The 13,383-nt window shown below is 39.0% G+C and overlaps 1 protein-coding gene and 1 pseudogene across 4 annotated transcripts in view; one reads left to right on the top strand and one right to left on the bottom strand.

Annotated features, from left to right (window-relative positions):
- Positions 1–13,383, top strand: part of ANXA8 (annexin A8) — a 523,804-nt gene that overhangs the window by 264,142 nt on the left and 246,279 nt on the right. The gene's annotated exons all lie outside the window — the stretch shown is intronic.
- Positions 1–13,383, bottom strand: part of SHLD2P3 (shieldin complex subunit 2 pseudogene 3) — a 41,519-nt pseudogene that overhangs the window by 3,564 nt on the left and 24,572 nt on the right. For 2 of the 3 annotated variants that reach the window (NR_027634.1, NR_160660.1), the window contains 2 exons: positions 7,594–7,822; positions 699–814 (listed from right to left, as the gene is read on the bottom strand). The product of NR_027634.1 is annotated as a shieldin complex subunit 2 pseudogene 3, transcript variant 1 (transcript). Of the gene's footprint in view, positions 1–698; positions 815–7,593; positions 7,823–11,797; positions 12,005–13,383 lie in introns of all 3 variants that reach the window. The other variant, NR_160661.1, reaches the window with a different exon arrangement.

Below are 13,383 nucleotides of genomic sequence, written 5' to 3'. Positions count from 1 at the left end.
AACTCAACTTATGACAAGGCTGACCATCCTGCTCACCCCTCACCTCCAGTAAAGGACCAGAAGAGGCATGCCTGTTTCCAGGTACAACTACTATTTACCTCAGTTTGTACTGTTCTACTTAATATATGCAACGTTCAGCATTCAACTCAAAATTACTAGACACCCCCAACTAAAAAAAAACACAAAAAACAATCTACTATTGAAAGATAAAGCAATCACAGAACCAGATTAGCTCATCAGCTTAGAGGATCTGAGGCTAATGAGAACAGGAATGGAGTTTGAATACCTGACAAATATATTATCTTTGCTTTATTCTTAGCCACTGACAACTAAGACATCATGGTTGAAGATCTTGCAAATCCATTCCACTGACACTGGACTATCTTCATATATATTATGTCATACACTCATTGACTTCATTCTTATAAAACTAGAGTTAAGTAAAATAGTTTTTGCTTACCAACAGGAAATGTAGGTTAAGAAGAAATTAGGTGCCTCCCGCTGTTCATGTACTAACAGGTGTAAAGCAAGTCAACCTTCTAACTTACATAGGCTTATATTTCACTTAAGCTAAATTATCCTTCTGTTTTCATATGGACAGAAAAGCTCTTAATTTAAAGTACAGTGCTCTTTCTGTTCTGATATACCATTTATACTCCTGAATAAAACAACTTCTTGATGGCACACTGATATATTACCTATCACTCTGTTGAGGCAGTCTGCAGAAATGTTGAGAAGAATCTTCTCTATCAGCTTTGATTCTACATGGATGTAAACATTATGTCTTCCATCAACGGCAGTCATTAACGCTGGCCTACAGAAGAGTAAACAACACACGACCTTCAAAAAGATTTTCAAATAAAAGAAATGCTTAAATGAAAAATAATTCCAAAAAGCACTTGGTTTTTATGCAGGATTAATTTTAATGCTTAAAACAACTCTAGGATGTTCTGTGACATCCTAGAAGGAAAAAAAGGTTTTTTTTTCCCCAAGAGCTTCAAATGATAAATTACTACATTTTATTTATTCTATATCCATTTTTAAATTTCAGATACTAATATAAAAATATATTAAACTGTTTTATAAATTATTTTTAGAAATGAAAATAAAAATAATAATCACATATTTCACAATCACAATTTCAAGTTACTTTTTTCAACTGAATTCTTTCCTATCAGAAATAAACTGTTTTGCATATCAATAAAACTGGATTAACAATTTTCAGTGCATCCTACATCTTAATGCTATGTAGCTGATAAAAAGAATGAAGAACATTTGCAAGTGCTATTAGGGAAGGAGCACCAGGATAGACTCTAGGGAACAACAATATGAACAATATTCTTCTGTCCACATGCTTCTAAAGAAAGGGATACACATGTGCTGGGATGAACATAATAAATCACTGGAAGGACATACAAAAAACCTTCTCACCAGCATGGAAGCAGCACTGGTGGGAGAGGGTTGGATGGTGAAGGAGACTTTCACTCTTTGTTTTATAACCTCCTATGTAGTGTGCATTTTAACCATGGCATGTGGTACCTATTTTATAACTACATTGATTTTTAAAAAATAAATTGAGAACAGAATTCAGAAACAGGCTCATTAGCGGGGGAATTTAATGTAACAGAGCTAAAACATAACTACTGATTTTCCCCCTAAAAACCCACTTCCCCCTTTATTCACACGATGACTCTATGTTCCTTCCTCTTTTCACTCTACACTCTTTCCTCAGCCTCTCTCTCCCTCCATTATTTATTTCAACAAATACAAACTGAGTATCTATCATGGACTGTGGTAAGTGCTGGGTACCCACTAGTGAAAAAGACAAATCTGGTTCCGTCACTCAAGGAACGTAAAACTGTAGAGGGATAGGAAGAAATTGGGCATGCGCGGTGGCTCATGCCTGTAATCCCAGCGCTTTGGGATGCCAAGGTGAGGAGGACTGCTTGAGGCCAGGAGTTTGAGACCAGCCTGGGCAACACAACGAGACCTCATCTCTACAAAAAGAAGAAGAAAGAAAATAAGCTTTTCAACAGTGGTGCCAAGATGACTAAACAGGGATGGAACAGTCTTTTCAAAAATTCATGCTGGGACAACTAGATATCCACATGCCAAAAAATAAAATTATACCCCTTCCTTATCCCATATACAAAACTTAACTCAAAGTAGATAATAAACCTAAATGTAGGAGGTAAAACTACTAAACTCTTAGAAGAAAATACGGGAGCAAATCTCCATAACCTTGGCTTAGAAATGACACCTTTCTTAGATATGACCCGAAAGCACATGCAACAAAAAGAAAAACGGAATAAGAAGTACTGGCAAGAATATGGGGAAATTACAACCCTCATATTGCTGATGAGAATGTAAAATTGTGCAGCAATTTTGGAAAACAGCCTGGTAGTTCCTCAAAAGGTTAAACAGACAGTTACCATATGACCCAGCAATTCCACCACTCCTAGATATATACCCAAGAGAAATGAACACACATATCCACACAAAAACTTGTACACAAATGTTCACAGCAGCATCATTCATAATAGCCAAAGAGTAGAAACAACCCAATTGTCCATCAACTGATGAATGGATAAATAAAATGTGGTATGTGCATACAATAAAATATTATTTTGCAATAAAAAGGAATGAAGTAGTGATACATGCTACAACATGGATGGACCTTGAAAACATCATGCTAAGTGAAGCCAGTCACAAAAGATCACATATTATATAATATTTATATAAAATATCTAGAACAGACAAATCTATAGAGACAGAAAGCAGATTCGTAGTTGCCATGGGTTGAGGGGCATGGGGAATGGAGAGTGACTGCTAATGAGTATGAGGCTTTGTAAAGGGCTGGGTAATGAAAATGTCCTAACTGGTTGTGGTGATAGCTACACAGCCCTTGGAATATACTACAGCCATTGAATTGTACATTTCAGAAGATTAATTTGATGGTATATGAATTTTAACTTCAGTAAAAATGTTTTTTAGAAAAGACAGTATGCAAATACAAATTACAGTAAGCACACCCAGGCTACTATAACAGAAAATAAAGAAGGGTGGTTAGGAAAGGCCTCTCTGATAGAGCAGCATTTAATCTAAGACATGAAGAAACCAGCCTTGTGGAGTCAGACAGAGGGAAGACATTCGAGAACATCCTAAGGAGAAAAATCAAAATGTCTGAAGAACTGAAAGAAGGCCACGTGGCTAGAGTGCTGGACGACAGGGGAGTGGCAGCAGATGAGACTGCAGAGGAAACAAGCACAAGGAGATGACTGATGGGTGAAGCAAAGGGTAATCACACTGCCAACGGGTGGAGAATAAAGGGGAGGAGGCAAGGCCAGGAGGAGCCCCACCAAGAGACTGCTGGTGTGCTGGTTTGCGCAATAGGTAGTAGGGACTCAGATGAGGCCTGAGTGATTCCAGACCAGCAGGCACTGACTTTCCATTTTGGTTTCACAGTAATTGAGGTTCAGCTAGGGGAAGGTAAACAGGGATGCCACATGCCCCGCAGCATGTGGGATATGGTACATAATGAGAAACTGTCCTGAGAAAAATGTCAACAATGCCCCTGCTGAGATACACTGGACTAAGATGTTAGCAGTGGAGATGGAAAAAAGTGGATGAATTTGTGATATAGTTCTGAATGAAAATTCCTAGGACTTGCTAATAGATTAGATAGGGGAGGTAGGGAAGAGAAAATGATGCAACGATTGTGCCCAGGTTTCCAGCCTAAATAATTGGGTAGATGGTGTGCCATTTTCCAGAAAGTATAAAAACGAAGAGAACTAGATTTGAGTGTGGTTTTAGGAAAAACAAGAGTCTATTGTGGGTATGTTTAAATGTGAGATGGACATCAAGCAAAGAATTTGATACCTGACTACTGGAGCCTGGAGGAGAAAATCAGGGTGAAGATGTTAAGTACAAATACGAAAACAGCTGTGATCATCCAGGCAGAATGTACAGAAAGAATAAGAGGAAGGACACAGACGAGAGCTCAAGATTAACCCCAGCATTTAAAGAGGGGGTAGAAAAGGCTGAGAAAGAAGGGCCTGAGAGACAGGTTAGAAAGCAAGGAGGAGGCTGTTTCAAGAAGGAGGAAGTGGACTGACATGCTGAATATAACTGAGAGCAGTTAGAGCGAGGAAAGAAGTATCCATGCCTCAGGCAACATCAAAAGTGTAACTTTGACAAAAGCAGCTTCTGCAGCATGGTAGGAGTAGAATGGAATAACTGAAGTGAAACTGAAGACATAATAGGGGAGAGAGAGTATATTTACAACTCTTTAACAAAGTTTGGCTGGGTATAAAACAGAATAGAAAAACGAAGGGATAAGAGGGAGATGTAATGTTAATGGATGATTTTGTTTGTTTTTTAATAAGAGAAATATGGGACTGTCTTTATAGGCTAGTAAGAATAATCCATTATGAGAGGTAATCACTGAAGATTAAGAAGGAAAAACAAAACAGGGTGCAGAAACCAAGGAAAAGTTCAATCACCACAGATAACCTTATAAGCCTAGCCCAGACTTCTCTTGCAAATTGCATTTCTTTACATCTAACCACTTTCCAACTTGTTACCTCTCAGGAACTCAAGCTCAATATGATCAAGATTTCTCCCAAGGTTACTTGTTTTAATAAATAATCTTATTGTTCACCCAACTGTCAATGATTTGCAATGTACCTGTGCTCTCTCTTTACCTACCAATCACTACATCTTGCAAACTATTTTCCGACCATTCTCAAATCTGTCCACTTCTTTTTATTCCTACCGCTTCCTCTCTAGTCAAGCCACCATCATCTCCCCTCCAAAATAAGGCAACAGCCTCTTACCGCTTCTCTGCACTAGCTTCATTCTAATCCACTCTCCAACGCACAGCTAAACTCACTTCTGATGAACAGAATTTGATAGAAGTGATGCCACATGACTTCTGAGTCTAGGTCACAAAAAGGCTGGCTTCCACCTGGAACTCTCTTTCTTGCCTTTCCTGCTCTGAGGAAATGAGCTGCCACTTTGTGAGAACATTCAGGCAGCCCGTGGAGACACCCAAGTGAAGAGGAACTCAACTTGTCAGCCATATGAATGAGCCACTTTGGAAATGAATCCTCCAGCCCCAGTCAAGCCTTCAGATGACTGCAGCCCCAGCCTACACCTTGATTACAACCTCTTGAGAGACCCAAACATTTCCTAGTGCTGCCTAAATAGGAGCCTTAATTGTGGTTTGACCTGCTGGGGTTTTTTGCTTCCAGTACAGAAAAATAAATGTATTTCTTGTATTCCAAAAATGTAAATCTGAATATTCTGTAGAAACATTGTTAAAAATGGTATTTGAGTTTTATGATAGCTTGAAGAGCAGGAACTATGCTATCTACATGTTAATTTAATAAATGTCTGTGGCCTCGTATGAGACTCCATTGCAATATCTAATGTTGCTTCCATTGGAAAATCAGCTCCAAGTTACAACCAATGTAAAATATGATCAACCCACTCATAGTTTGGGACTGTTGTGCCACACAAATGTTCATTAAGTGTTTCTTAAATGGACTACCAAGCTTCTTGGGCACAATAAGTCTACTTAGATCAACTAGTATAACATCCACAGTACACATGTGATATGTGAACATACGTGGATTCCTAATAAATATTTGACTGAGTCTTAGAAAAATAATCAATGAGAGTTTTCTCTTATTCAGTTTGCTGATTGATTTATATAGATGATTTTGGAGTCACATACTTGATAACTTGAAGGGAGTTTGTTAATTTCAATATTTTCTTTCCAAGGAAACCACATAATCTGGACTCTAATAATTTAAAGGCTTTTAGGCTGGGCTTGGTGGCTCACACCTGTAATTCCAGCACTTTGGGAGGCTGAGACGGGTGGATCACCTGAGGTCAGGAGTTCGAGACCAGCCTGACCAACATGGAGAAACCCTGTCTCTATAAAAATACAAAATTAGCCAGGCGTGGTGGCACATGCCTGTAATCCCAGCTACTTGGGAGGCTGAGACAGAAGAATCACTTGAACCTGGGAGGCAGAGGTTGCGATGAGCTGAGATCGCACCAGTGCACTCCAGCCTGGGCAACAAGAGCGAAACTCTGTCTCAAAAAATAAAAAAAAAAGGCTTTTAAATAAATAAAAAATAATAATTCTTGCCTTAACATGACCATTCAACATTCTAGTAAGACAACAAACTAGCACTACATCTTTAATGTGGTATAGTTTAGGAAGAGATCTTAAATACCTCATACTAGTTATGCCATAATCAGGTGATACTGATCTGTGAAGTCCTTCTCTTGAACAGTCATTTTGTAAACTAAAGATTCAAAGGCCCTCCTCCCCATAAGGAATAGTATTGAGCAGTATTTTTGTCCAATAAATGCTTATATTGAATAGAAACATTTGGAATGATATAAATAAGTCACCTATACATACTTTTGAGGGGCCTTAACTATTAATAAATCAATGTTGTTTGTTACATACCATGCATTTTTTGTTTTGATTTTGAGACAGGGTCTCACTCTGTTGCACAAGCTAGAGTGCAGTGGTGCAAACATAGCTCACTGTAACAATTGATCTCCTGGGCTCAAACAATCCTCCTGCCTCAGCCTCCCAAGTAGCTGGGACTACAGGCCTATGTCACCATGCCCAGCTTTTTTTTTTTTTTTTGGTAGAGATGGGGTTTCCCTATGTTTCCCAGGCTGGTCTTGAACCCCTGGGCTCAAGCGATCCCCCCACCACGGCCTCCCAAAGTGCTGGGATTACAGGCATGAGCCACCACACCCAGCCTACCATACATCTTAATTCAATCTTCTTTTCCACAAAAGCAACTTTCACAGTAATAGCAAAATTCATTCACTTATTTATAACAAACATAATATCTGTAAAGAGAAATAAGGTTTACAAATTAAGCTTCTATAACTTTTCTTGAAGTATGCCATGATAACATGTGGAATATATCTGAATTTAGTTTTTAGATACCGCAATATTTAGAAATAATCATAAGGAGCATAAAACACTGAGTGCTATTTTGTAAACACATGTAATTTATAAGGTAAAGAGAAAAATGTCTGAGCTTTTGACTACCTATTATTCAAAAAACAATGTGTTTTTCACTGAGCTGATTAGCAGTTTTACCATACAACATTTATTTGCTGGCTTTAATTTCTAAGGTAAAGGTGGGAAAACAGCTTAAATGTCTTACTAGCTTCCACAACAACTCAGAGGTGACATCATATGATACTTTTAGCCTTTAAATTCTAATTATATGTTAAGGTGGGAAAATGAGTTATTTATGAGCATTTAGATTTTGGTTAAAAAGTAAACCAAGGAAAATGTTTCTTTGGTACAGCTGTTTGAAGACAATAAAATCTCCCAATTACTGCTTTAAGAAATTCCTATCTTTAAGAAATTCCTATAACGATTCCTGGGTAATTTTTGCTACCATAAATAGCTATCTATCACTCAGGGAAAATTTTATTCTCTTCGACTAGCTCTAGTTAATTCTTTTTAGAAAGTAAGAGTTTACAGACTAGTTTTTCCAGATCTATAATAATTATTTTCCATCAAATTGGCTTGCTTAGTTGCCTTACCTATAATATATTTTCTTCATAGTAAATGGCAAGCAGCTAAAACATTGTTTGTAGATCCTGTTCTCATCTGTTTCTAGTTCCAATCCACATTTTGCACAGCCAGTATATATGATGTTGGGAAGAGAAGAAAAAATACTCTTCAGAGAACTGTGAGCATTTAGAGATATCTTCTGAGCTGCTGTAAGAGGAAATGCCAGCTCTGAAATCTGGGCTTTAATTAGAACCACTCCTACAAACAACAAACAGATATGTTATAAATTATTGGGCCAAAATTATAACTTTAATTTACAAACATGGCTAATTTTATAGTTGATTTACAGTCACTTGTAGTAAAAGGATACACTGAGGTCTTGTTCTTCGTCTTCTTTACTATTTTCCTAGAATCTAAGGGCAGGGAGGTCTGGCTGCAACTGAGAGCAGGTTTACTTGGCTAATTTGGCTGAACATGTGATGTTTCCTTCCTTCCCCATCCTCTGGAATCAGGCAAAATAAGTTCAATACCTCCTTTAGAAGAAATCCCTTCGAATACTTGAAACTAGCTAACATGCCCTCTCTCCTTGCCCTGTCTTCTTTTAAACTGATCATGGTGAAAAGCCAGATAGGGGCCGGGCACAGTGGCTCACACCTGTAATCCCAGCACTTTGGGAGGCCGACGCGGGCAGATCACGAGGTCAGGAGATCGAGACCATCCTGGCTAACATGGTGAAACCCTGTCTCTACTAAAAATACAAAAAATTAGCCGGGCGCGGTGGCTGGCGCCTGTAGTCCCAGCTACTCGGGAGGCTGAGGCAGGAGAATGGCTTGAACCCAGGAGGCAGAGCTTATAGTGAGCCAAGATCACACCACTGCACACCGGCCTGGGCGAAAGAGCGAGACTCCGTCTCAAAAAAAAAAAAAAAAAAAGCCAAATAGGAGGTGAACTTTTCTTCTTCTCTCTACGTAAAAATATCAATAGCCTGTTCTCTTTTAAACTTTTTTCCAACTTTCCGCTCACCATTATCATCTATATACTCTGGCTGTGGGTTATAAAAAGTTCTCATTTATTAATCGTTTCTCAGGTGACTCACAAGAAACCTCAAGCATATTCATAATTCACTGCTAATGGCTCATCCATTCACCAGTAAACAAATACTGAAAGTCTACTATCTCCCAGACATTATTTTTTCCTAATTTACTTTTGTCTTACTGTGTACTGGTGAGGTCTATGAGTTTTCTTGAGCATTATTCTCCCTTTCTCCATAGTCAATTTAAAGGCTTCTTTAAGCCTTAAGCCTTCAAATTTGTTCTTCTTCATCCACTTAGAAGTAAGAACACTCCAGGTCAAGAACTAATCACTCTAGTCTCCTACTGTTTTCTGGTTATCTCTTTCAGAGTCCAGTTAATGATGAGTCTTCTGTTCTTAACTTCATTTGCTTTAGTCTTTCAATGCCCAAAGACGGTTTCATCATCTCTTCCAATTGTGTCACATATCCCTACATGAGTTAGCAGGAGTGCGTAGCGATCGAATATGTAACAAACTGTAGAAGATTCAATACCACATCTTTCCAAAGACATGTTAAATCACTACAAAATTATTATTTTTTGTTGTTTTGAGACAGTCTCACTCTGTCGTCCAGGCTAGAGTGCAGTGGTGCAATCTTGACTCACTGCAGTCTCAACCTCCCTGGGCACAAGTGATCCTCCCACCTCAGCTTCCTGAGTAGCTGGGACTACAGGCACACACCACCACACCTGGCTAATTTTTGTATTTTTTTGTGGAGATGGGGATTTGCCATGTTGACCAGGCTGGTCTCCAACTCCTGGGCTCAAGTGATCCACTCTTCTTGGCCTCCCAGAATGCTGGGATTACAGGCTTGAGCCAATGTGTCTGGCCTAAAAAAATATGTAAAAAAAAAAATTTCGATTTTTATTTTAGATTCAGAGGGTAGATGTGCAGGTTTGTTACATGGGCATATCATCACCCAAGTAGTCTCCTGTAGTAGGCAGAGTACCCAACAGTTAGTTTTTCAACCCTTGCTCTCCTCCCTCCACTCAAAAAGTCTTTTTTTTTTTTTTTTTTTTTTTGAGACAGAGTATTGCTCTGTCACCCAGTCTGCACTGCAGTGGTGCAATCTCGGCTCACTGCAACCTCTGCCTCCTGCGTTCAAGCAATTTTCCTGCCTCAGCCTCCCAAGTAGCTGGGACTACAGGCACCCGACATCATGCCTGGCTAATTTTTGTATTTTTAGTAGAGGCAGGGTTTCACCACGTTGGCCAGGCTGGTCTCAAACTCCTGACCTCAAATGATCCACCCACCTCGGCCTCCCAAAGTGCTGGAATTATAGGCATGAGCCACCCTGCCCAGCCTAAAAAATTCGTAATAATTCAATAATTTTAAAAGAATGTTCACATAATCCTATCATTTTGTAAATTTACACAACTCTTGAAAAGAATTAAAAGGTCACGCTGAATGTGGACTTTGCTTTCAAGGGGGTCACTCCGCTGAGCACTGAAATTCTGCTGGCGGTAAGATGAGGTACTGGGTAAGCGTCTTCATTTCTTTACAAGGACTCAGGCCTAGCCTCATCCCCCTCTGGCTTTTGTTGAGCAAGCAGACCCTTCTAGGAAATGCTCCCATGCTGATCTCTCTTTCTCCTTTTATTTAACTATAAAATAGGTTAGGGAAAAGTTGCTTGTGTTTTCATATTCTCTCTCCATTTTTGTCTTAAAAACACATACACTATGACAGAAACTATGAATTCAGCCCTCATAGCTGAACATAAAGAGAATGAAAAAGGCTAAACAGGCCTCTGTGAACAAAGCCTCTGAAGGACTGATTTTAATGGCACAGTTTTGGCATGGCTTGCTAATGAGGAGCACACCTCCAGGACTTCCAAGAACATGCACAATTCCTGGCTGCGTCCTCAAACAAGTGGGGCTATAGCCTGAGAATCTTTCATCATCAGCGTGGTGGCCTCCTATTTTGTTGTTGTCCATGATGTTATTTATTTTTATTTTTAAACCTAATTCTAGACTTCAATCCCAGCAGATAACTGTTTTGTGTAAGCAGTAAATAACAGAGTTGACTTCTCCATGGCACCAAACTAAACGTCTCTGCAAAGTAAGGTAGCCCCTCAACTGTGTCTGGCATTCCTTCCTGTGGTGACCACCTCTATATGTCTGTGAAGTTGGAGAAGCAGAGCACGGGAGGGGCACATAAATATAAAACTGGCTTAGGAACTTACATGATGCTATAACATTACCAAGATTTTACCAGTTAGTATAAATCTAGAGTCTTTTATGACCATAGGCAACTTCCATTTTTGAAAATAGTATGAAATTTTTATAGTATAAAAGCTTATAAATTTTCTATCATCTGTGTTTACCTTCCAGAAATATTATTAATTTAAACTATCTGCTGGTATTAGTAAATGTTTCAGTGTAGAACTAAGAATAAGGAGTTCTTCTCTGAGAATGAAATCTCTGTATTCAATTAAAAGTTGGGTTTTTTGAGAGGTATTGTCTTTGTTTTCTGCCTGTATTCTCCTTAGCATAGTTTTATGATATAACAATGCTAACCCTTCAATCATATATTGGAAAACATATTTACACATATATGTGAATTAACCCAACTAGTAACATTTTAATCTGGCATTTGGCCAAGATAAAGTAAGGATCTGAATTTCTGCTCCCACTTGTCATATAATAAAAAATAGGTATTTGCTCTTTGTCCCTGGTTCCTAGCACATAGTTCCTAAAACTACTGGAATCTAGTTCAGATATTTGCAAAGATTTATATTTCACTTTTATATAGACTTATACATTTTTACCACAAGTGGTAGCCTTTTTGCTTATATTAAAACTAGCAGTGGGCTGGGTGTGGTGGCTCATGCCTGTAATTCCAGCACTTTGGGAGTCCAAGGCAAGAGGATCACTTGAGTCCAGGAGTTTGAGACCAGACTGGGCAACATAGGGAGACTCTGTCTCTGCCAAAATAATAAATAAATAAATAGCTGGGTGTGGTGGCATGCACTGATGGTATGCACTAGCCTTCCCTTCCCTCCTCAGCTACGCGAAAGGCTGAGCGGGGAGAATCACTTAAACCTGAGAGGTGGAGACTGCAGTGAGCTGTGTTCACACCACTGTATTCCAGCCTGAGCAACAGAGCAAGACTCTGTTTCAAAAGAAATAAAAATAGCAGAATTTATGTATATAAAAATCTTACCTGAACACTTATCCTCTAGGTGGGTTGCTAAGTCTGATATCTTCACAAAGGAGGGTGCACTTTTTTGAAATTTTGCTTTAAATGTAATTGCCCTTATATCATCATCAAACAAGCACTCACAGGATGACCAAGGCGTTGTATGCAATTCTAGGTTTTCTAGTGTGTAATTGCGCTGAACAAAAAGATATTTAAATTCCCAAATATAACCTTAAACAAAAACAGTAAAAACAAAAGTCACCAAAAAGGAAAAAAAATCTAGGCTTAGTATCAGATTAAATAGATTGATCTGATTAAGTCAGTTGAATACTAATCTTTTATCACTAAAGAATTTGGGTAAACAGAGACAAAATATGAATGGTGCATTAAGACAACAGAAGCATGCTAGAGATTATTATTATTATTTTTTTTTTCCAAGACAGAGTCTCGCTCTGTTGCCCAGGCTGGAGAGCAGTGGTGTGATCTCGGCTCACTGAAACCTCCACCTCCCAGGTTCAAGTGATTCTCCTGCCTCGGCCTCCTGAGTAGCTGGGATTACAGGTGCGTGCCACCACTCCCGGCTAATTTTTGTATTTTTAGTAGAGACAGGGTTTCGCCATGTTGGTCAGGCTGGTCTTGAACTCCTGACCTCATGATCCGCCCACCTCGGCCTCCCACAGTGCTGGGATTACAGGCATAAGCCTCCGCGCCGGGCCACCAGAGATAATTTTAATAAAATATTTTCTAAAGATTCCTTGCCCTCCTGAACGGTCATCATTTATAATAACCAACTGCTTTCTGTAAAGAAAATTCTCATGTATCTATCTATAGGCAAAGTTTTGTTTTGTTTTGTTAAAGAAAGGACACTGAAATGAACCCAAGTCTAATATTTCACTCATATTTCAATACTTTAGTTATCTTAGTTAACTTTTCTAGAACAAAAAGCATTTAGACACAATAGTACTTATTTTTAACTCTCAGTAACAATTTTTTTTTTTTTTTGAGACGGAGTCTCGCTCTGTTGCCCAGGCTGGAGCACAGTGGCGCAATCTCGGCTCACTGCAAGCTCCACGTCCCGGGTTCAAGCCATTCTCCTGCCTCAGCCTCCGGAGTAGCTGGGACTACAGGCGCCTGCCACCACGCCCGGCTAATTTTTTTTGCATTTTTAGTAGAGACGGGGTTTCACTGTGTTAGCCAGGATGGTCTCCATCTCCTGACCTCGTGATCCGCCCGCCTCGGCTTCCCAAAGTGCTGGGATTACAGGCGGGAGCCACCGCGCCGGCCACAATTCTAATACTTAAAGCCACAGTAACACAGACCTTGTTACTGTTATATTCTCTATTAGTAAATTCAACTTATCTGTATTATCATATTCTGTATTAGTAAATTCAACTTCAAAACTATAATAAAACAAAAGAGGGTTTCTTAGCACTCATTTTTCTGATAACATCAGCTGTCTTTTTAGTTTCTCACTTCAGGCCATAAATCTAATTTACTACACCTGCTCATCTCCTTAGTTTCTTTCACTAAAGATTTTTTTTTTTTTTTGGTGGAAAATCATCAAACATCTCAGTAAATCTGTAAAGACAGAACATCACTAGCTAGAACTA

Source organism: Homo sapiens, chromosome 10 (genome assembly GCF_000001405.40).
Source record: "Homo sapiens chromosome 10, GRCh38.p14 Primary Assembly".
Lineage (NCBI taxonomy): Eukaryota > Metazoa > Chordata > Mammalia > Primates > Hominidae > Homo > Homo sapiens.
This window is presented reverse-complemented; position numbering and strand designations above follow the sequence as displayed.